General features: G+C 45.1%; 1 protein-coding gene and 1 pseudogene across 1 annotated transcript in view, besides 2 other annotated features; both read left to right on the top strand.

Moving 5' to 3' along the window:
* Positions 29-88: a silencer, noted in NCBI's record as "silent region_10153". NCBI's record gives its function as "represses an Ori minimal core promoter by ATAC-STARR-seq in GM12878 lymphoblastoid cells {active_cell/tissue: GM12878}" and the evidence as "EXISTENCE:reporter gene assay evidence [ECO:0000049][PMID:35858748]".
* The window catches only part of ZNF490 (zinc finger protein 490), a 34,714-nt gene continuing 11,369 nt past the window's right edge, over positions 107-23,451 (top strand). Inside the window, exons 1-2 of the mRNA NM_020714.3 lie at positions 107-356; positions 1,718-1,762. Coding sequence (NP_065765.1) covers positions 240-356; positions 1,718-1,762 — 162 coding nt within the window. The 5' untranslated portion in view covers positions 107-239. The remainder of the gene's footprint in view (positions 357-1,717; positions 1,763-23,451) is intronic.
* Positions 219-438: an enhancer, noted in NCBI's record as "active region_14058". NCBI's record gives its function as "activates an Ori minimal core promoter by ATAC-STARR-seq in GM12878 lymphoblastoid cells {active_cell/tissue: GM12878}" and the evidence as "EXISTENCE:reporter gene assay evidence [ECO:0000049][PMID:35858748]".
* VN2R16P (vomeronasal 2 receptor 16 pseudogene) lies at positions 2,942-3,088 on the top strand (annotated as a pseudogene).

Raw genomic sequence — 23,451 nt, 5'->3', positions numbered from 1 at the left:
GCGCAGCGTAGCCGTACCCTCCTTTCCGGCGCCGCCCCTGATTGGACAATTATACAGCCCCGCCCCTTTTTGTCCGAATGACAGCTAGGCAGCAGGTCTAGTAGCTAGGCAGATCTCGCTTCCGCCGGTGGGACGGAACTGGTGCCCTCCGTGGACAATTGTGTTGAAGCAGAAATTGTTCCGGATCTCGGGTCGGACACGGAAGTCTTCCTGCAGTGTTTCTGGATGCGGGGACAGGGATGCGCAGGAATTCCAGTCTCAGTTTCCAGATGGAGCGACCCCTCGAGGAGCAAGTCCAGAGCAAGTGGTCGTCTAGTCAAGGCCGCACAGGAACAGGAGGGTCTGATGTCCTCCAGGTACCAGGGGCTTGGCATAATGTTGTAAGGCCTCTCGTGGAATAGTGACCCTTGTTTATAAACAGACGGTTACCCCATCATGTGTAATAAAAAGTGTGGTTGCATTTTAATCTTTGACCATAACAGCGTTGAGGCGTCCACCTTTCTTTTCCCCACCTCCACACATTTGGCACTTTAGAAAAGGAACCCCAAGGCAGGGCTTGGTGGCGCACACCCGTAGTCCCAGCTACTGCGTGGTGGGGGCGGTGGGGGAGGTCGGGGGGTGGGTGGGCTGAGGCGGGTGGATCGCTTGACTCCAGGAGTTTGAGTTCAGTCTGGGCAACATGGCCAGAACCCATCCCAAGAAAAAAAAAAAAAGGAAAGAAAGAAAAAACAATCCGTAGGACACCCGAGCACTTGGCTCGGGTGGTAAATTGCAACCCTAACCTGGGCACAGGGACTCTTCAGACCAATCACGATCTATGAGACGTGCTCAGTAAACTGCGTTTTACTCTGGAAGGAAATGGTTTGTTTTCGTTGTTTTTTTGTTTGTTTGTTTTTAGTTTAAGCATGTTTTTATTGCTTTTCATTTTTATTTTTATTTTTGTAGATTTATGGTTACAAATGCACTTGTGTTACGTGGATATATTTCATAGTGGCGAAGTCTGGCTTTTAGTGCACCCATCACCCAAAGAGTGTATATTGTACCCAATAGGTAATATTTCATCCCTCATCCCCCCTCTCTGTCCAACCTATTGGCATCTCCAGTGTCTATTATTCCATTCTGTATGTCCATGTTTACCCATTGTTTAGCTCCCACTTATATGTAAGAAGATGCAGTTTTTGACTTTCTGTTTTTGCATCATCGCACTTAGGATAATGGCCTCCAGTTCCATCCGTGTTGCTGTAAAGTGGAAGGAAATTTATCTCAAATAAGTTTTCTAAAGTGTCCCTACAGAACTTGGAAAGACCAAGAGCCCAAAACCAGCCTGGGCAACATAGCGAGACCCCATTTCTCAAAAAATTTTTAAAAATTAGCTGGGTATGGTGTTCACCTGTAGTCCTAGCTCCTTCGGAGGCTGAGGCAGAAGGATCTCAAGGCTAAGAGTTTGAGGTTACAGTGAGCCAAGATTGTGCCACTGCATTCCAGCCTGGGAGAGAGAGAGACTGTCTCTAAATTTTTTTTTTAAAGTAGAAACATATTTCATTTTTCCCATTATAGAGGAGACAGTGTAATCTTGAAAACTCCCATGATCCACCCTTCTGGTAGCTCTGTGTGTACAGGTAGATGCAGGGGGAACAATGCTTCCAAGGCTGTCAAAGGTCATGTTTAGTTCTAAATTGCTGAAACTCACAAAATGCATCCTCTTGTTTCTAATTAGATGCAGAACAGTGAACACCATGGACAAAGCATCAAGACTCAAACTGTAAGTGAGATCGCTACCTGTCAGCGTGGCTACCTTCCTTGTTTATAATGACCATTTGGGTCTGTCCTTCTATGACCTCTTTGTGGGGGGGTCTTTCGGGTCTTTGTGAAGGCACTCCCATAGTCAAGGCCAATAACCAGGCTCTCAGGTATGTCCTGTTCATTGCCCTCACCCTGTACTTCCATTGTCCCTTACCTTCATTGGCCATCCCAACACAGCCACCTGCATCCTTTGGAATATCACATTTGGGCTGGGTGCAGTGGCTCATGCCTGTAATCCTGGCACTTTGGGAGACTGAGGTAGGAGGATTGCTTGAGTTCAGGAGTTTGAGACCAGTGTGGGCAATGTAGTGAGACTCTGTCTCTACAAAAAATAAAAAAAATGGCTGGGTGTAGTAGCTCATGCCTGTAATCTCAGCACTTTGGGAGGCAAGGTGGGTGGATCACTTGAGGCCAGGAGTTGGTTTCCAACCTGGCCAACATGCTGAAACCTCATCTCTATTAAAAATATTTTTTAAGTTAGCTGGGCATGGTGGGAGGCACACCTGTAATCTCAGCTACTTGGGTGGCTGAGGCATGAGAATCACTTGAATCTGGGAGGAGGAGGTTGCAGTGAGCTGAGATCGCGCCACTGTACTCCAGCCTGGGCAACAGAGTGAAACTCTGTCTCAAAAATAAATAAATAAATAAATAAATAAATACATAAATAAATAAAGATAAAAAATTAGCTGGGCATGGTGGCATAGTCCCAGGTCCTCGGGAGGCTGAGACGGGAGGATGGCTTCAACCTGAGGCTGCGGTGACCTGTGATGGTGCCACTGCACTCTAGCCTGGGCAACAGAGCGAGACCCTGTCTCAAAAAAACACAAAAACCACAAATTTGGAGTCATGTTTACTTGTTTGCATAGTTTGGACAAAACGATCACTGCAGTTCTGACCTTCAAGGTAAACATGCAAGAGACGGATAAGGCACGGGTTAGTGTCGGGGGTACCTAATTTTGTCATTGCTATCAGTTCCCTGATCTAAGTGACTCTGTAATCCCAACACTTTGGGATGCTGAAGTGGGAGGAATTTCATGGGGAATGACTACAGCCTTCATGCATGTGGATACATAATCTGAGCCTGAATATGTCATCTTCACATAAAACCACGATTTGGTTATTGACTGTTCTGTGAATCCTGGGTTCCTTGGCTCATGGGAGCTTCAATGTGGCTTTTCTGGCCAGGAACTTGCCTGACATTTTCAATAAGCCAATCCTTAAGTTCAGCATGCTGGTATTTTTCAGTGTCTGGGTCACCGTCCTTCCTGTCTACCAAAACCCGAAATGGGGAAGCTATCAATCCTGGCCTCCACTGATTTGCTGCTGCTTCTCTGTCTGCAGATGCTATGCTGTTCTTGTTTGTTCCTTTTTTTTTTTTTTGAGACAGGGATCTTGCTGTGTTGCCCAGGCTGGTCTCAAGCTCCTGGCTTCAAGCAATTCTCCTGCCTCAACCTCCCAAAGTGCAGGGATTACAGGTGTGAGTCACTATGCCTGGCCTGAGTTTTCAGTTTTTGACAGTGCTCAGTATATGTGGTGGCACACATTTGGACTTTAATACTGAGAAGTTCCATTATTATTACTGTTATTATATTGTATTACTATTACTATTATGTTCTGTCACCCAGGCTGGAGTGCAGTGGCAAGATCACAGCTCACTGTAGACTCAACTTCACAGGCTCCCTAGTAGCTGGGACTAGTAGCTGGAACTAGGACTAGGTGTGCGCCACCACGCTTGGCTAATTTTAAAAAAATTCTTTTTTTAGCCAGGTGTGGTTGTGCACATCTGTAATCCCAGCTATTTGGGAGGCTGAGGCAGGAGAATTGCTTGAACCCAGAAGGTGGAGGTTGCAGTGAGCCGAGATCATGCCACTGCACTCTAGCCTGGGTGACAGAGTGAGACTCCACCTCAAAAAAAAAAAAAAATTTAAATTTTTTAAATTTTAGAGACAGGGTCCTGCTATGTTGCCCAGGCTGATCTTGAACTCCTGGACTCAAGTGATCCTCCCACATCAGCCTCCCAGTGTTGGGATGGTAGGCGTGAGCTACCACACCTGGCCAATTTCATTATTACTTATGAGCCATATGAGTTTAGACAAGACTTTGTGCTCTCCATACTTAACTTTTTTCATTTGCAAGATGGGAGGTATGATTGGGTGGGGCTAATCAAATGAAATACTAATGATTATGAAATCACATTAGTCACCACAGTGATGTGCAAACATAAATTATTGAAATATTGAATAAAAATGGGATTTTATTTGTTCTTTAGTAAAACACAAAGCTGTTCATTTTTTTTCTTTCCTAACATGTGCTGGAAATCTACCATATGGAAATGATACTTGTGAATGGTCATGGACTTTTAGGCCTTTGCTGATCATTAAAATAAAAATCTTCCAGTGATTCCTTTTATAAAAGGACATCAAAGCCTGGGCAACAGAGTGAAATCCTGTCTCTATAAAAATAAAAAAAATTGGCCAGGTGCAGTGGCTCACACCTGTAATCCTAGCACTTTGGGAGGCTGAGGTGGGTAAATCACTTGAGGTCAGGAGTTCAAGACCAGCCTGGCCAACATGGCGAAACCGCATCTCTACTAAAATACAAAAAATTAGCGGGGCATGGTGGTGCACACCTGTAGTCCCAGCTACTCAGCAGGCTGAGGCAGAAGAATTGCTTGAACTCAGGAGGCAGAGGTTGCAGTGAGCTGAGATCATGCCACTGCACTCTAGCCTGGGCAACAGATAGAGACCCTGTCTCAAAAAAAAAAAAAAAAAAAGAATTACCCAGGGTGGTGGCATGTGCCTGTAGTCCCATAGCAGAGATCCCTTGAGTCCAAGAGTTGGAGGCTACAATGACCTATGATTGTGCCACTGCACTCCAGCTTGGGCAATAGAGTGAGTCTCTGTCTCTAAAATGAAAAAAAAAAAAAATCCTATTTTAGGCCAGGCGCGGTGGCTCATGCCTGTAATCCCTGCACTTTGGGAGGCCGAGGTGGGTGGATCACCTGAGGTCGGGAGTTTGAGACCAGCCTGACCAACATGGAGAAACCCTGTTTCTACTAAAAATACAAAATTAGCGGGACGTGGTGGCACATGCCTGTAATCCCAGCTACTTGGGAGGCTGAGGCAGGATAATTGCTTGAACCCGGGAGGTGGAGGTTGCGGTGAGCCAAGATCATTGCACGCCAGCCTGGGCAACAAGAGCAAAACTCTGTCTCAAAAAAAAAAATTAAATTAAAAAAAAATCCTATTCGAGGGTCTCAAATACACTTTTCTTAAAGGGATAGGAAAACCATTAACAAAATATTTAACAGAATACTTCACTTCTGGTCCACCAATAACCACTTCTCAAGCAGACACCAGCTGGGTGTGCTATATAATTCAATTTAATTGTGACAGTATCTACCTGGAGACGGAGTCCAATACCAAAAGCTAACGGCTCACAAGAATGCCCCTCACTGCAAATGTCAGTTGTAAGTCCCAGGATGTGACCTATGCTTCTGACCAACAAGCTGTAAATCAGGGTTTTCATGACCCACTCTTTGGGTTTGATTAATTTGCTGTAGCAGCCTACAGAACTCACAGAAACACTTTACTTACATTCACCCATTTATTACAAAGTGTTTTTTTTTTTTTTAATAGAGCAGGGTTTCACTCTGTCTCCCAGGCTGGAGTGCAGTGGCAGGATCATAGCTCATTGCAGCCTTCAACTCTTGGGATCAAGCGATCCTCCCTCATCAGCCCCGCAAGTAGCTAGGAATATAGGCATGTGCCACCACACTCAACTAATTATTTATTTTTTGTAAAGTTAGGGTCTCGCTCTGTTGTCCAGGCTAGTCTCAACCTCCAGGTCTCAAGAGATCCTCCCACCTCGCTCCTCTCAAAGCACTGAGATTATAGGAGTGAGTCACTGTGCCTAGTCTTACAAAGGATATTTTATTATTTATTTATTTGTTTACTCTTTATTTTGAGACAGGGTCTCACTCTGTTGCCAGGCTGGAGTGTAGCAGCACGATCTTGGCTCACTGCAACCTCCATCTCCAGGGTTCAAATGATTCTCGTGTTTCAGCCTCCCGAGTAGCTGGAATGACAGGCATCCTCCACCACGCCCAGCTATTTTTGTATTTTTAGTAGAGAAGGGGTTTCACCATGTTGGCCAGGCTGGTCTCGAACTCCTGACCTCAAGTGATCCATCTGCCTTGGCCTCCCAAAGTGCTGGCATTACAGGTGTGAACCACTGCACCCAGCCTACAAAGGATATTTTATTTTATTTATTATTATTATTATTTTTTTTTTGAGACGGAGTTTTGCTCTTGTCGCCCAGGCTGGAGTGCAATGGCGCGATCTCAGCTCACTGCAACCTCTGCCTCCCAGGTTCAAGCAATTCTCCTGCCTCAGCTTCCCAAGTAGCTGGGATTACAGGCGCCCACCACCACGCCTGGCTAATTTTTTTTTTTTTGAGATAGAGTCTCACTCTTTTGCCCAGGCTGGAGTGCAGTGGCACAATCTTGGCTCACTGCAGCCTCTGCCTACCAGGGTCAAGTGATTCTCCTACCTCAGTCTCTCAAGTAGCTGGATTACAGGCCCATGCCACCATGCCCAGCTAATTTTTTTTCTGTGTGTCTATGTTTTTAGTAGAGGCAGGGTTTCACCATGCTGGCCAGGCTGGTCTCGAACTCCTGACCTCATGATCCGCCCACCTTGTCCTCCCAAAGTGCTGGGATTATAGGTGTGAGCCACTGCACCTGGCCTAATTTTTGTATTTTAAGTAGAGATGGGGTTTCATCATGTTGGTCAAGCTGGTCTTGAACTCCTGACCTCAAGTGATCCACCTGCCTCAGCCTCCCAAAGTGCTGGGATTACAGGCGTGAGCCACCACACCTGGCCCTACAAAGGATATTTTAAATGATACGAATGAACAGCCAGATGAAGAGATACCTCCAGGCATATGGTTATGTTCTTATTTACCAACCAGAAGGCTCTCTGAGCCGTGTTTTTGGGTTTTTATGGTGGCTTTATTATGGTGACATGATTAATCACATCATTCACTATGGGTGATCAACTCAACCTTCAGTTTTCTCTTCCCTCCCTGGAGGTGGGGACAGAGCTGAAAGTTTCAAAGCTCCAGTCACATGGTTGGTTCCCTGGCAACTAGCCTCACATCCTGTGGTTTGTAGGAGCTTTCCAAAAATCACCCCATTAACATAAACTTAGCTGTGGTGGAAAGGGGATGGTTATGAATAACTAAAGACATTTCTTCCACCTGTCACTCTGGAACTCTTCTAGAGCTATTTTAAGAACTGAATACAAAAGGCCATTTTTTTTTTTTTTTGAGATAGGGTCTCCTTCACTCTGTCACCCAGTGACAGTGGCACAATCTTGGCTCAATGCAGCCTCCACCCCCGGGTTCAAGCAATGATCCCACCACAGCCTCCTGAGTAGCTGGGACTACAGGTGCACGCCACCACATCTGGCTATTTTTTTCTATTTTTAGTAGAGATGGGTTTTCGCCATGTTGCCCAGACTGGTCTCAAACACCTGAGCTCAAGCATCCACCTACCTTGGCCTCCCAAAGTACTGGGATTACAGATGTGAGCCCCAGCGCCCAGCCTTTTTTTTGTTGTTTGTTTTTTGAGACAGAGTCTTACTCTGTCACCTAGGCTGGAGTGCAGTGGTGTCATCACAGCTCACTGCAGCCTTGACTTCCCTGAGCTCAGGTGACCCTCCCACCTCAACCTCTCAAGTAGCTGAGACTATAGGCACACACCCCTATGCCTGGCCAATTTTTGTATTTTTTGTAGAGATAGGATCTCACTGTGTTGCCCAGGCTGGTCTTGAACTCCTGGGCTCAAGCATCCTGCCTGCCTCAGCCTCCCAACATGGTGGGATTACAGGCAGCCCAAATATTTTAACAAAAGATACTCCAATTGCTCTAGTCGCTTAGGAAATTACAAGGTTTTTAGCAACTGTGAGCCAGGAACCCTGGACAAAACCCAAATTATATATTTCACAATATCACAACTTTCTTTTCCACCAAACTGGGGGGTGGTACTCAAAATGATACCCTCTCTCTGCAGTTTGATTCAATTATAACTTGGATATTCTCTAAGAATCCATAGTTCTTGTCTGTGTGTCAACTGGGAAATCACTGTGGATTTGAATAAGTACTCTGCACATAAGAAAAACCCATGATGGGGCCAGGTGTGGTGGCTCACACCTGTAATCCCAGCACTCTGGGAGGCTGAGGCAGGTGGATTGCATGAGCCCAGGAGTTTGAGACCAGCCTGGCCAACATGGCGAAACCTTGTTTCTACTAAAAATACAAAAAACTAGCCCGGCGTGGTGGTGCGCACCTGTAGGCCCAGCTTCTCGGGAGGCTGAGGTGAGAGAATCATCTGAGCCTGGGAGGTCAAGGCTGCAGTAAGCCGAGATCACACCACTGTACTCTAGCCTGCATAACCATAGTGAAACCTTGTCTCGACAAAAAAAAAAAAAAAGAAATATACATGATGGGCTGCACTGTGTAGATGACCATTACCCTCTAGGAAGACCTCAGTGGTTTTCTTTTTTTGAGACAGAGTCTTGCTCTATTGCCCAGGTTGGAGTCCAGTGGCATCATCTCGGCTCGCTGCAACCTTTGTCTCCTGGGTTTAAGTGATTCTCCTGCCTCAGCTTCCTACATAGTTGGGACTACAGGTGCCTGCCACCATGCCCAACTAATTATTTTTATTTTTTTGGTAGAGATGGGGTTTCACCCTGTTGGCCAGGCTGGTCTCAAGTTCCTGACCTCAGGTAATCCTCCTGCCTCGGCCTCCCGCAGTGCTGGGATTACAGGCGGGAGCTACCGCGCCAGCCAAAGGTTTTCTGATATACAATTTAATTTATGTCACCCAGTCTCCAGTAGCAGCAAAATTTTCATATCAAATACATGAGGCAATTCAGACATAGAGATCAATGGCATGAAATTGAAATTCCAGAAATAGGCCCATATATGTGTGTGTGTGTGTGTGTGTGTGTGTGTGTGTGTGTGTGTGTGTGTGTATATAGTGAACTGAGTTTCAAAAACGGTGCCAGGAATCGGGAAATAATATTATTTTCTTTTTTTACTTTTTTCTTTTTTTTTTGTTGAGTCAGAGTCTTGCTCTCTCGCCCAGGCTGGAGTGCAGTGGTGCGATCTCGGCTCACTGCAAGCTCCGCCTCCCGGGTTCACGCCATTCTCCTGCCTCAGCCTCCTGAGTAGCTGGGACTACAGGAGCCTGCCACCAAGCCCGGCTAATTTTTTTTGTATTTTTAGTAGAGACAGGGTTTCACCATGTTAGCCAGGATGGTCTCGATCTCCTGACCTCGTGATCCGCCCGCCTTGGCCTCCCAAAGTGCTGGGATTACAGGCCTATGCCACCGCACCTGGCCTAGAATATTATTTTCATAAATTGGTGTTGTGACAGTTGGATAGACATACAAAAAATAATAAAATTGGGCCGAGCACAGTGGCATGATCATCTGAGTCCTGGAGTTCAAGACCAGCCTGGGCAATATAGTGCAACCTCATATCTTATAAAAAAAAATTAGCCAGGTTTGTGGCATACACCTGTAGTCCCAGCTGCTTGATGGCTGAGGGAGGAGGATTGCTGGAGCCTGGGAGTTTTGGCTGCAGTGAGCTATGATTGTACCACTCTAGTCTAGCCTGGGTGACAGAGTGAGACCCCAATTCTTTGTTTTTGTTTTTTTTTTTTCAGACGGAGTCTTGCTCTGTCACCCAGGCTAGAGTGCAATGGCGCAATATCGGCTCATTGCAACCTTCGCCTCCCGGGTTCACACCATTCTCCTGCCTCAGCCTCCCGAGTAGCTGGGACTACAGGTGCCCGCCACCACGCCTGGCTAATTTTTTGTATTTTTAGTAGAGACGGAGTTTCACCGTGTTAGCCAGGATGGTCTCGATCTCCTGACCTCGTGATCTACCCGCCTTGGCCTCCGAAAGTGCTGGGATTACAGGCGTAAGCCAACGCACCTGGCCTTTTTTTTTTCTTTTTTTTTTGAGACAGGGTCTTACCCTGTCTCCCTGACTGGAAAGCTGTGAGCCTCAGCTCACTGCAGTCTCTGCCTTCCAGGCTCAAAGGATCCTCCCACCTCAGCCTCCCAAGTAGCTGGGGCTACAGGCGTGCACCACCACACCTGGCTAATTTTTGTATTTTTTGGAGAGACAGGTTGTGTCATGTTGGCCAGGCTGGTCTGGAACTCCTGGGCTTAAGTGATCCACCCACCTTGGCTTCCCAAAGTGCTAGGACAAGAGTCCTGAACATTTTTTCTCTATTCTGATGTCACAATCTCCAAAGTTATCTAAAACTTGCATTCAAGAGCACCTGTTAGAGCTTTATAGCTGATTATAAAACCACCTTCTAAAGAGGACCAAGACAAGACAACAATTATTTATGGATGACAAAGTTTTAGGGTAGCCATAGCTAAAGACACAATTGACAAGGAAATCTGTTACTCTGTGGCACACAATAATTTAACATAATAATTATAATTATTACTGATAACATACACTGATATATCAGAATTACAAGAGTTTTCCATCATTTTGGAACACATACCAATAACATATATATACAGATATAGTCCAAAGAAAGCCATACTCCATTTTATATTTGACTTTGCTTCCTCTATGATTTTTGTACCAAATAAGCCAAATTTCACATTTACATTAGTATACTATTACTGTTAAACCCAATTCTTTTCTTTTCTTTTTTTTTTTGAGACAGAGTCTCGCTCTTTCGCTCAGGCTGGAGTGCAGTGGCACATCTCGGCTCACTGCAACTTCCACCTCCTGGGTTCACACCATTCTCCTGCCTCAGCCTCCCGAGTAGCTGGGACTACAGGTGCCCGCCACCATGCCTGGCTAATTTTTTGTGTTTTTTTTTTAGTAGAGACGGGGTTTCACCATGTTAGCCAGGATGGTCTCGATCTCCTAACCTCGTGATCTGCCCGCCTCGGCCTCCCAAAGTGCTGGGATTACAGGCGTGAGCCACGGCGCCTGGCCTAAACCCAATTCTTAATAAAACCTTATAGACATATTTACCCAATTTTATAGACATATTTACGCCAATGTTTGGCAATTTTTATAGATTTTTTATTACCCTTTACAATTTTTGTTAAAGAGCAGGTTAGTGTTCTAAAAGAAAGCCGTTGTGCTTTTATTTTAATATTCAATTTACAGAAAAACTGGATAATACCCCCTTTAACTTTAGCCAATATGTTTACACACAGAATTTCTTTTACAATCAACCTTCCACAACTTGCTTAAACTTTCAGCTTTATTTTATCTAATTTAATCCATTAACCTTTTATTTAGGCAAAAAAAATCCACATTCCCATGCCTTCTTATAATCTTTTTACCAAAAGTATACTCTACTTTCCTTACACACCTTGCATGTAAAACTGTTTTTTCCAGTAGTCTCAATTACATGTTACAATATTGATTCTTAGCAACTTTTACTTTTGGTGAAAAACCTGGTAAGTGATTTTAATTATGGACCAGGTGGGGAGCCTAGGACCTAGACAGAAGTGCAGATAAGGTCTGACTCATTCTAGCATCTAACTTCTTGTGTCCCAGGCCTTCCCTAGCTGTAAAGCAGGCAGTTGTACAGTTAAGAGTCATAATGGCATTTTATGAAGCATTCAGGAGGCCTAAACACCTTTAAATTCTACAACATTTCTTCCATAAGTTCCCTTTCATAAATTCTTTCATGACTTACACTCTATGATATGCCTTGACTTTCTGACTTGTCCTAAACATCCCTCTTTTTAAACAACCAGTCATTTTTCTTTAGGACAAGAATCTATCATACAAGATCCTTTTTTATATAAAATATCTTTTCTTTATGCTTTTTTTAACCAAAAATACTTATTTATTTTTATAACTTTCTTTATGTCTCTTTTTTTTTCTTTTCTTTCTTTCTTTTTTTTTTTTTTTTTTTTTTTGAGACAGAGTCTTGCTCTGTTGCCCAGGCTGGAGTGCAGTGGCGTGATCTTGGGTCACTGCCCAGGTTCAAGCGATTCTCCTGCCTCAGCCTCCAGAATAGCTGGGATCACAGGCACCCCGCCACCACACCCAGCTAATTTTTTTTTTTTTTTGAGATGGAGTCTCGCTCTGTTGCCCAGGCTGGAGTGCAGTGATGCAGTCTCGGCTCACCGCAACCTCTGCCTCCCAGGTTCAAGCTATTTTCCTGCCTCAGCCTCCCTAGTAGCTGGGACTACAGGTGCGCGCCACCATGCCTAGCTAATTTTTGTATTTTTAGTAGAGATGGGGTTTCACTGTGTTGGCCAGGCTGGTCTCGAACTCCTGACCTCATGATCCGCCTGCCTCAGCCTCCCAAAGTGCTGGGATTACAGGCATGAGCCACCGCGCCCGGCAGAATCCTGGGTTTTAAAAAGGGAGAATTATTGACGGGCATGGTGGTTCAGGCCTGTAATCCCAGCACTTTGGGAGGCCGAGGCGGGCAGATCCCAACCTAAGGTTGGGAGTTCGAGACCAGCCTGACCAACATGGAGAAACCCCGTGTCTACTAAAAATACAAAATTAGCCGGGCGTGGTGGCTCATGCCTGTAATTCCAGCTACTCGGGAGGCTGAGGCGGGAGAATCGCTTGAACCCGGGAGGCGGAGGTTGCGGTGAGCGGAGATCACGCCACTGCACTCCAGCCTGGGCAACAAGAGAGAAACTCTGCCTCCAAAAAAAAAGGGGAGAATTATTATGAGGCTAGATCATGTGATGCTTTTACAGTGCACTTAACAATTTTTTTTCCCAAAGACATTTCTAAGTGTCTAAACCACACTTTTTCTTAAAATCCTGAGTAGCTTCTGTTGCAATAGCTATTTTTTTTAATTGTTGTTTTTTTTGAGACAGAGTCTCGCTCTGCCACCAGGCTGGAGTGCAGTGGCGCGATCTTGGCTCACTGCAACCTCCGCCTCCCAGGTTCAAGTGATTCTCCTGCCTCAGCCTCCTGAGTAGCTGGGATTACAGGCGCGTGCCACCACGCCCAGCTAATTTTTGTATTTTTAGTAGAGACAGGGTTTGACCATGTTGGCCAGGATGGTCTCGATCACTTGACCTCGTGATCCGCCCGCCTCGGCCTCCCAAAGTGCTGGGATTACAAGCGAGAGCCTCCGCACCCGGCCGGAATCTATATTTCTTAATTTTTAATTTTTAATTTTGTAGAGGCGGGTTCTTACAGTGTTACCCAGGCTGGTGTGAAAATCCTGGCCTCAAGGGATCCTCCCGAAGTGCTGAGATTACAGGCTTGAGCCAACGTGCCTGGCCTTTAAATGTCTTAAAAGGAAGTAAATTCTGACACATGCTACAACATCAGGAAGATTGAGGACATTATGCTAAGTGAAATAAGTCAGTCGGAAAAGGACAAATACAGAATAATTCCACCTATATGAGGTACCCACAGTGAAATTCACACAATCAAAAAGTCGAATAGTAGGTGTCAGGGGCTGAGGGTGAGCGGTAAATGGGATGTTATTCAATCAATAAAGAGTTTCAAATTTGCAAGATTAAATCAGTTCTAGAGATTGGTTTCACAATGTAACTACACTTAACACTACTGAATAGGCCACTTAAAAATGGACCTCGGGCAAAGAACAAATTCCTCTTACATGCAAATATCCCCGCCGGGAAAACCCACTCTGGGAAGCTAGCTCGGCTCAACCACGTGCCCTCCTGCATGGCTGTCACTCAGGGGTCAGGGGGCGGGGGCACACAAACTGTCCAGTCAGCATCGGTGTTGAAAAGGCGCTTGCACCCTAGCTCTGAATGCGCGTGTGAACATCCTTATTCTAGCGGTTCGCTAGGATTGCGTCCCAGCCTCGGACTGTCTGTGGCTCTGCGTATGCTTTGTCTCACTGGGACCTGCAGGTAGTGAGGGATCCGTAGGGAGGACTCCTGGAGCCTCCGTAAGCCGAGAAATGGTGAGTGTGCGGGGCCGGGAGTCCCGAGACCTGAGGAGGGGACTTGTCGGAACCGGCTATGGGAAGACCCGAGTCCCCCTGGCGCAGCTGACCCGAGGGTCTCCCAGCAGCGTGGGGCTGGGCCGGCAGCTGGGACCTCAGGCGTTCTGTCCCGTCCCTGCGATTGCGGCCCCGGCCCCGGAGCCCTTTCCGGGCAGCTGGGCGCCCCCAGCCCCGCGTCTCCGAAGATTGTGCAGGGGCCACGGGAAAGTCATGACGGATTCTCGTGTGTTTGAGAATCCATTTGGGTCAGAACATTAAGGTGAATCCACCTGTGAGAATTGAAGCCTGGAGGAGGGAACATTTTTTTTGCAGCTAGGGGAGAGGAGGGCGTGTGGAGCTCCCAGAGTTCGTTCCTGTGGCTGCTCAGATGCCCCTGCTGTCATCACCAGGCACTGACCCACTGTCTGGGCTACCGCTCTCAAGTTTGGGAATTTGTTTGTTTTTGACACGGTCTCGCAGTGTCGCCCAGGCTGAAGTGCGGTGGCGCCATCAAACCTCACTGCATCTCAAGCGATCCTCCCGCCTCAGCCTCCTGAGTAGCTGGGACTAAAGGCATCTGCCACTACTGGCTAATTTCAAATTTTTATTTTGTAGATACAGGGTCTTGCTGTGTTGCTCATGCTAGTCTTGAACGCCTGGCTTTAAGGGATCCTCTTGCCTTGGCCTCCCAAAATGTTGGTATTATAGGCGTGACCATGCCTGGCCCTTGTGAATGTATTTACCTTTCGATTGTGAGTTTTCCATTTTAACGGTGGAGAAGCAATTCCTTATCTAAACAGATTAAAACATTTGCGTTTCTTTCCCTTGGATTCCTTGATCAAATCACTTTTTTTTTTTTTTTTGAGACGGAGTCTTTCTCTGTCGCCCAGACTGGAGTGCAGTGACACCATCTCAGTTCACTGCAACCCCTGCCTCCCAGGTTGAAGCAACTCTTATGCCTCAGCCTCCTGAGTAGCTGGTATTACAGGCGTGTGCCACCACACCCGGCCCATTTTTGTATTTTTAGTAGAGATGGGATTGCATCTTATTGACCAGGCTGTTCTCGAACTCCTGGCCTCAAGTGATCTGCCTGCCTCAGCCTTCTGAAGTGCTGGGATTACAGGTGTGAGCTGCTGCGCTGGCCCAAATCACCTTTTTTTCTTTTTCTTTTTTTCTTTTGACAGAGTCTTGCTCTTTTGCTCAGGCTGGAGTGCAGTGGCATGATCTTGGCTCACTGCAACCTCTGCCTCCCAGGTTCAAGCAATTCTCCCTGCCTCAGCCTCCTGCGTAACTGGGATTACAGTCACCTGCCAACACACTCGGCTGATTTTTGTATTTTTAGTAGAGATGGGGTTTCGCCAGGTTGGCCAGGCTGGTCTCAAACTCCTGACCTCAGGTGATCCACCTGCCTCAGCCTCCCAAAGTGCTGGGATTGCAGGTGTGAGTCGCCACACCCAGCCCTGAAACCTTTTAATGCCACCAGTTCCATGGGTGAGGCCCATAACCTACAATTTGAGGTTTTCTGGAGGAAAAAAATATATTAATAAATATTAAGGTAGGAAGATAACCGGAAGCATATCAAGTGACCACAGAAACAAAACAGAGAAAGATTAAAGAAGGAAGGGCACAAAAGAAAAAAAAATGAAGCATTTTTCTAGGTTTTGACCTAATTGCAACTCCAAAATATAGTAAAAGAATTATGCAACTAAAAAAAAGGCTGGACATGGTGGCCCACACCTGTTATCCAAACACTTTGGGAGGCTAAGACAGGCGGGTCGGGAGCTGACCAACATGGAGAAACCCCCTTCTCTACTAAAAATACAAAATTAACTGGGCATGGTGGTGCATGGCTGTAATCCCAGCTACTAGGGAGCAGGAGAATTTCTTGAACCCGGGAGGCGGAGGTTGTGGTGAGCCGAGATCACACCCTTGCACTCCAGCAGGGACAACAAGAGCGAAACTCGGTCTCAAAAAAAAAAAGAGAGAGAAAAGGACACTGCATGTGCTTGGCTTTCAGGCCTCTCCGACATTAGTTCTGAATTTTATTATTTTTTAAATCATATATATATATTTCTGGTTTCAAACTCCTGGGCTCTAGCAATCCTCCTGCCTTGGCCTCCCAAGGTGCTGGGATTACAGGAATAAGCCACCAGGCCCAGCCTAGTTCTGAATTAATTTTAACATCTCTGTAATGCACTAACTGACAATCATTCATGGGATTAATCAATCCTAGGAATCAGCTATATCTGGAGATCCCACTAAATGTAAGCAAGGTACACTGATTGATTGATGGATGGATTGATGGAGTCTTCTTCCTCTGTTGCCCAGGTGGGAGTGCTGAGACAGACTCTCACTCTGTCGCCCAGGCAGAAGTGCAGTGGTGTGATCTCAGCTCACTGCAACCTCTGCCTACTGCTGTTGTTCCTGTTGGCACCCACAACATCATTTGGGCTTTTTTGATGTTCAGGAGGTAACACAGTCCTTTATAAAGTTTACTTAAGCCCATTTATGCTGTGACTTGCAAATTGGTCATCATTGCCCGGATATCGCTACCACAGAGGCTCTAGACACTGTTTAAGTTGCCATATGGCAGGCACTCCTGTTAGTGCCTCCAGAGCACTATAGATGCTCTTTTTTTCTTTTCTTTTCTTTTTTTTTTTTTGAGATGGAGTCTTGCTCTGTCTCCCAGGTTGGAGTGCAGTAGCAAAATCTCGGCTCACTGCAACCTCTGCCTCCCTGGTTCAAGCAATTCTCCTACCTCAGCCTCCAGAGTAGCTGGGATTACAGGTGTGCACCACCACACCCAGTTAATTTTTGTATTTTTAGTAGAGACGGGGTTTTACCGTATTGGCCAGGCTGGTCTCAAACTCCTGACCTCCAGTGATCTGCCTGCCATGGCCTCCCAAAGTGCTGGGATTACAGGCATGAGCCACCATTCCTGGCCACTATAGTGGCTTTAGAAACCTCCTCTCATGCCTCTTGTAATTATCCATGATGACCATAAGTTGTCCATAGGGCTCTGATGCAAGAAACAGCCCTTGGCCCCACACTATATGCCATTAGAGCTGCAATGATCACCTTGTACTAGGTTATCCTGAACATTGAGGCTCTCCTGGGCCCTGGGCATGTGACTCTACTCAACTGCTCATTTTGCCATGGGTCCTAGAAACAGCAACCTACACAGACCTCCTTTCAAAATTACAGAGTCAAATGTTAGCCTTCAGCATATCCTCTCTGCAGGAGTTGGGGTGGGAGGGTGACTTCTTTTCTTTCTTCCTTGCCAGATGTCATGGTGCTGGAGGAGGTCTACCTTCTCCTAGATCCTTTGCTACTGAGTGAACAGCAGTGGCGAGTGTGTAGACTTGATGGCTGACATGGCCACATTTGTACATGTTGGAGCTGCTGCTTTTTATCCCTTAATTGAAATGGACCTAATAAAGGACTAGATTCAAGGGGCAGTTCATCAGTTAGTCATCTTAGCAGTGGCCAACAATAAATCCCATCTGCACATGTTTACACACTCTTGAGTGATTGTCTAAGAGTTGCACCTTTGTAGTAAAAGAACTCTGGGAATATTAGGCTGGGTGTGGTGGCTCACGCCTGTAATTGCAGCATTTTGGGAGGCTGAGGCGGGTGGATCACTTGAGGTCAGGAGTTCGAGACCAGCCTGGCCAACATGGAGAAACCCCGTCTCTACTAAAAATACAAAAAAATTAGCCAGGTGTGGTGGCTCGTGCCTGTAATCCCAGCTACTCAGGAGGCTGAGGCAGGAGAATCGCTTGAACCTGGGAGGCGGAGGTTGCAGTGAGCCGAGATTGCGCCTCTGCATTTCAGCCTGGGCAACAGAGCGAGACTTCATCTCAAAGGGAAAAAAAAAAAAACCCACAAAACTCTGGGAATCTTTTTTTACCTCACGGCTAGCCATATAAGTCAAGATAATACACACCTCTACAGAGGGTAATCCCACAATCCAAGGCTCCGCCTGGACACTCATATTCGTGCAAGAGTTCCGGACACTACTGATACTAATCAAAGCTCTTATTTCACTTCTCAAAATAGAGAGTGATGGGCTTTTGAACAAGGCATCCTGTGGAACTTTCATTGCCTTTACCAGTCTCTGGCTCACGAAGCACCATAAAGGCTTACTAAAATAAAATTCATGAATTGAGTGAAAGGTTGTATGTTTCATTCATCAACCAGTCATGGTGTGAATTGTCATTAGCCTGTCCTCATCGTTTTTCTTTTTCTAGTAGACTTTATTTTTGTAGAGCTATTTCAGAGTTACAGAAAAATTGATGAGAAAGTGTAGTGTTCCCACTTGATCCCTCTGCCTCCACATAGTTTATCCTTTTTATATTTTCTATTACTTTAATACATCTGTTATAAGTGATGTACCAATATTGATGCCTCAGAGTCCACAGTTTACATTAGGGCTGACTCTGTTATACAATCTGTGGGTTTTGGCAAATGTATAATAACTGCTATTCATCATAGCTGCATCATGTAGGATGCTTTCCCTCACCTAAATATCCCCTGTGCTTCTCCTATTCATTAGTCCCTCCCTCTTCCCAAATTCTTGACAGTCAAAAGCCTTTTTACTCTGTCATAATTTTGCCTTTTCCTGAATGTCATCTTTGAAACTACACAGTATATAACCATTTAGATTGGCTTCTTTCACTTAATAATATATGTTCAAGTCAAGGTTTCTCCACGTCTTTTTTTTTTTTTTAAATTGAGATGGGGTCTCATCATAACACCCATGCTGGTCTTGAACTCCCAGACTCAAGTGATCCTCCTGCCTCAGTGCCCTGAGTAGCTGGTACTACAGGTGAGAGCCACCATACCTAGCCTCCATGTCTTTTCATGGCTTGATACCTGATTCTCCTGCCTCAGCCTCCCGAGTAGCTGAGATGATAGGCAAGCGCCACCACACTCAGCTAATTTTTGTATTTTTAGTAGAGACAGGATTTCACCATGTTGGCCAGGATAGTCTCGATCTCCTGACCTCATGGTCTGCCCTCCTTGGCCTCCCAAAGTGCTGGGATTACAGGCGTGAGCCACCGCGCCCAGCTGATACCTGATTTCTTTTTATCATTCTGTAGGTGAACCAGATGGTTTATCCATTTGTCTATTGAGAGGTATCTTGGTTCACTCTAAGGTTTGCAAGGTTTTGAATAAAACTATAAGCATTCATGTGCAGGTTTTGGCATGAACATAAATTTTCAACTCTTTTTAGTAAATACCTAGGAGCATGATGGCTAGATTACAATTTAAGAGTGTGTTTTTTTTTTTTTTGTAACTGTCTGCCTTTCAAAGTGGGAGTATCATTTTCCATTGCCAGCAGCAAATAATGATGATACTTATTGTTCTCCATCTTCACCATCATTTGGTGTTTTTAGTGTTTTAAAATTTAGCCATTTAGTGAGTGTGGTAATATCTTACTCAGTTTTATTTATCTTAGTTTTTTTTTATTCCCTAATGCTGTGTGACGTTGAGCATGTTTTGATGTGCTGCTTTACCATCTCTAAATCTTCTCTGGTGATGTGTATGTTCATATCTTTTGCCCATTTTTAATTGGATTGTCTTCCTGTTACTGAGTTTTAATAGTTCTTTTAGTAGTTGGAATATCAGTCCTTTGTCAGATAGGTGTTTTGCAAAGAATTTCTCCCTGTCTGTAGCTTGTCTTTTCATTTTCTTAACATGGTCTTTCCCAGAGCAGGACTCTTTTTTGGGGGGGCGGCGGGGATGGAGTCTCTGTCAGTCAGGCTGGAGTGCAGTGGCGTAATCTCGGCTCACTGCAACATCAGCTTCTCAGGTTCAAGCGATTTATTCTACCTCAGCCTGCCAAGTAGCTGGGACTACAGGCATGCACCACCACACCTGGCTAATTTTTGTATTTTTAGTAGAGACAGGGTTTCACCATGTCGGCTAGACTGGTCTCAAATTCCTGACCTCAAGTCATCCGCCCACCTCGGCCTCCCAAAGAGTTGGGATTACAGGCATGAGCCACCGTGCCCGGCCCCAGAGCAGGACTTTTTTATTTTAATGAAGTCAAACTTATAATTTATGTTATAATTCATCATCAAACCCAAGGTCATCTAGATTTTATATATTATCCTCTAGGAGTCTTATTGTATTTTACAGTTACATCTTTGATCTATTTTCATTTAATTTTTCTTTTATTTAAAAAAAATTTTTTTTTTTTTAAAGAAATAGAGATGGAGTGTTGTTATGTTGCCCACATTGGTCTTGAACTCCTGGGCTGAAGTGATCCACCCCATCTTAGCCTCCCAAAGTGCTGGGATTACAGGCGTGAGCCACCACACCCAGCTGCCTTTGGTTCTTCATCAAAGATCAGTTGACTATATTTGTGTGGCTGTGTAGGAAAGGAGTTGGCCTTATATGTTGAGCTTGTGTCCTTCAACCTTGCTCTTATTGGTTCCAGGAATTTTCTTTGTTGTAGATTTTTGAAATTCTCTACATACGCAGTCATGTCATATGCAGATAGACAGCTTTAGTTCTTCCTTCCCAGTTGGTATATCTTTTATTTCTTTTTCTTTTTCTTAGTTTCACTGTTGTACAATATTGAATAGAAATGGTGAGAGGGGCCAGGCACGGTGGCTCATGCCTGTAATCCAGCACTTTAGGAGGCCGAGGCAGGGGTTGGGGGGATCATTGAGGTCAAGAGTTCAGGACCAGCCTGGCCAACATGGTGAAACCCCATCTCTACTAAAAATATACAAATTAGCTGGACATGGTTGGGTGCACCTGTAATCCCAGCTACTCAGGAGGCTGAGGCAGGAAAATCTCTTGAACCCGGGAGGTGGAGGTGGTTACAGTGAGCTGAGATGGCACCAGTGCACTCCAGCCTGGGCAACAGAGCGAAACTCCATCTCAAAGAAAAAAAAAAAAAGGCCAGGCATGGTGGCTCATGCCTGTAATCCCAGCACTTTGGGAGGCTGAGACGGGCGTATCACAAGGTCAGGAGTTCCAGACCAGCCTGGTCAATATGGTGAAACCCCGTCTCTACTAAAAATACAAAAAAATTAGCGGGGCGTGGTGGCACATGCCTGTAATCCCAGCTACTCCGGAGGCTGAGGCAGGAGAATTGCTTGAACCCAGGAGGCGGAGATTGCAGTGAGCCGAGATCGTGCCAGTGCACTCCAGCCTGGGTGACAGAGTGAGACTCTCTCACTAAATAAATAAATAAATAAATACATACATACATACATACATACATACATACATACATACATGAATGGTGAGAGTGTGAGAAGGGTCTTTCTTACCTTGTTCCTCATATTACTGGGAAAACATCTAGTTTTTCACATTAAGCGTGATGTTAACTGCAGGTTTCTTGTATGTACTTTCTCAAGAAGTTCCTCTTGCCCGATGCAGTGGCATGCACCTATAGTCTTTGCTGCTTGCGGGGCCAAGGCAAGAAGATTGCTGGAGCCCACCAGTTTGAGGCTATAGCACTATGACGGCGCCTCTGAATAGCCAATATACTCCAGCCTGGGCAATTTAGTGAGACCTGTCTCAAAAAAAAAAAAAAAAAAGAAGAAGAAGAAATTCCCTTCTATTCCTAGTTTGCTATCATAAATAGATGTTCAATTTTGTCAAGTGCTTCTTCATTTTCCCCCTTTCGTCATATTAACAATCTTTGTCTTTTTGTTGTTAGCTAGCTTGAGGAGACATTTTTCAGTTAATTATTGATATTTTCACAAGACCACCTTTTGGTTTTGTTGGTTTTTCTCTATCTATTTTTTTTGAGACAGAGTCTCGCTCTGTCACCCAGGCTGCAGTGTGATGGCGCGATCTGGGCTCACTGCAACCTCTGCCTCCTGGGTTCAAGTGATTCTCCTGCCTCAGCCTCCCAAGTAGCTGGGATTATAGGCCTGTGCCACCATGCCTGGCTAATTTTTGTATTTTAGAGTACATGAGAGAGTATTTTTGTAATTTTGTATTTGTAGAGATGGGGTTTCACCATGTTGGCCAGGCTGGTCTCGAAGTCCTGACCTCAGGTGATCTGCCTGACTCAGCCTCCCAAAGCGCTGGGATTACAGGCGTGAGCCACCATACCTGGCCTGTTATTAGTTTTTTAAGTTAGACACTGAGATTATTGATTACAGATCATTCTTTGGTGGTATATGTGTTCAATCGTCTACATTTCAGCCAGGCACTCCTTTTGCTGCATTCTACGTGTTTTGATAAGTTCTATTTTTATTTAATTCAAAATAATTTTTAATATCTTGAGACTTTTCTCATCCATGCATTATTTAGAAGTTCAGGATTTAATATCCAAATATTTGTGGGTTTTCAAGCTATCTTTCTGTTATCAATTCTGGATCTGAGAACATGTTTTGTATTCTCTAGTCTTTTAAATTTGCTAGGAAGTATTTTATTTACCAGAATGTGAGATATCTTGGTGAATATTCCATGTGAACTTGAGAAGAATGTATATTCTGCTGTTACTGAATGAATTATTCTGGATTTCAATTAAGTCCAGTTGTTTTGATGGTGCTGTTCAATTTAATTATGTCCTTCCTGATTTCTGCCTGCTGGATCTCTAAATTAATGCTGGGGGTTATTGAAATATACAGCTGTACCAGTGAATTCATGTATTTCTTCCTGCAGTTGTATTAGTTTTCCCCTCATATATTTTGCCACTCTGTGGTTATGTACATACACAGTAAGGATTGCCTTGTCTTCTTGGTGAATTAACCCCTTTGTCAGTATGTAATGCCCTTCTATCACTGATAATTTCATGCTATGAAGTCAGCTTTTTCTGAAATTAATAAGGCTGTGCCAGCTTTTAAAAAATTAGTGTTGGCCGGGCATGGTGGTTCATGCTTGTAATCCCAGCACTTAGGGAGGCCAAGGCGGGCACATCACGAGGTCGGGAGTTTGCCACCAGCCTAACCAACGTGGTGAAACCCTATCTCTACTAAAAATATAAAAATTGACCAGGCATGGTGTCTCACGCTTGTAATCTCAGCACTTTGGGAGGCAGGCGGATCGCCTGAGGTCAGGAGTTTGAGACCAGCCTGGCCAACATGGTGAAACCCTGTCTCTACTAAAAATACAAAAATTAGCCAGGCGTGGTGGCAGGTGCCTGCAATTCCAGCTACTCAGGAGGCTGAGGCAGAAGAATCGCTTGAACCTGGGAGGCGGAGGTTGTAGCGAGCCGAGATTGCGCCATCGCACTCCAGCCTGGGCAACAAGAGCGAAACTTCGACTCAAACAAACAAACAAACAAAAAATATTAGCTGGGTGTGGTAGTGTGCGCCTGTAATCCCAGCTACTCAGGAGACTGAGGCAGGAGAATCGCTTGAACCCGGGAGGTGGAGGTTGCAGTGAGCCAAGATTGCGCCACTGCACTCCAGCCTGGGTGGCAGAGTGAGACTTTGTCTCAAAATAATAATAATAATAATTAGTGTTAGCATAGTATATCTTTCTCTATTCCTTTATTTTTAATATATCTTTGTGATATATTTATTTATTATTACTTTTTATTATTATACTTTAAGTTCTAGGGTACATGTGCACAACGTGCAGGTTTGTTACATATGTGTACATGTGCCATGTTGGTGTGCTGTACCCATTAACTGGTCATTTACATTAGGTATATCTCCTAATGCTATCCCTCCCCCCTCCCC

The sequence above is a fragment of the Homo sapiens genome, chromosome 19 (assembly GCF_000001405.40).
Source record: "Homo sapiens chromosome 19, GRCh38.p14 Primary Assembly".
In the NCBI taxonomy this organism is placed as follows: Eukaryota; Metazoa; Chordata; class Mammalia; order Primates; family Hominidae; genus Homo; species Homo sapiens.
The sequence above is the reverse complement of the archived record's forward strand: the minus strand, read 5'-3'. Positions and strand labels throughout refer to the sequence as shown.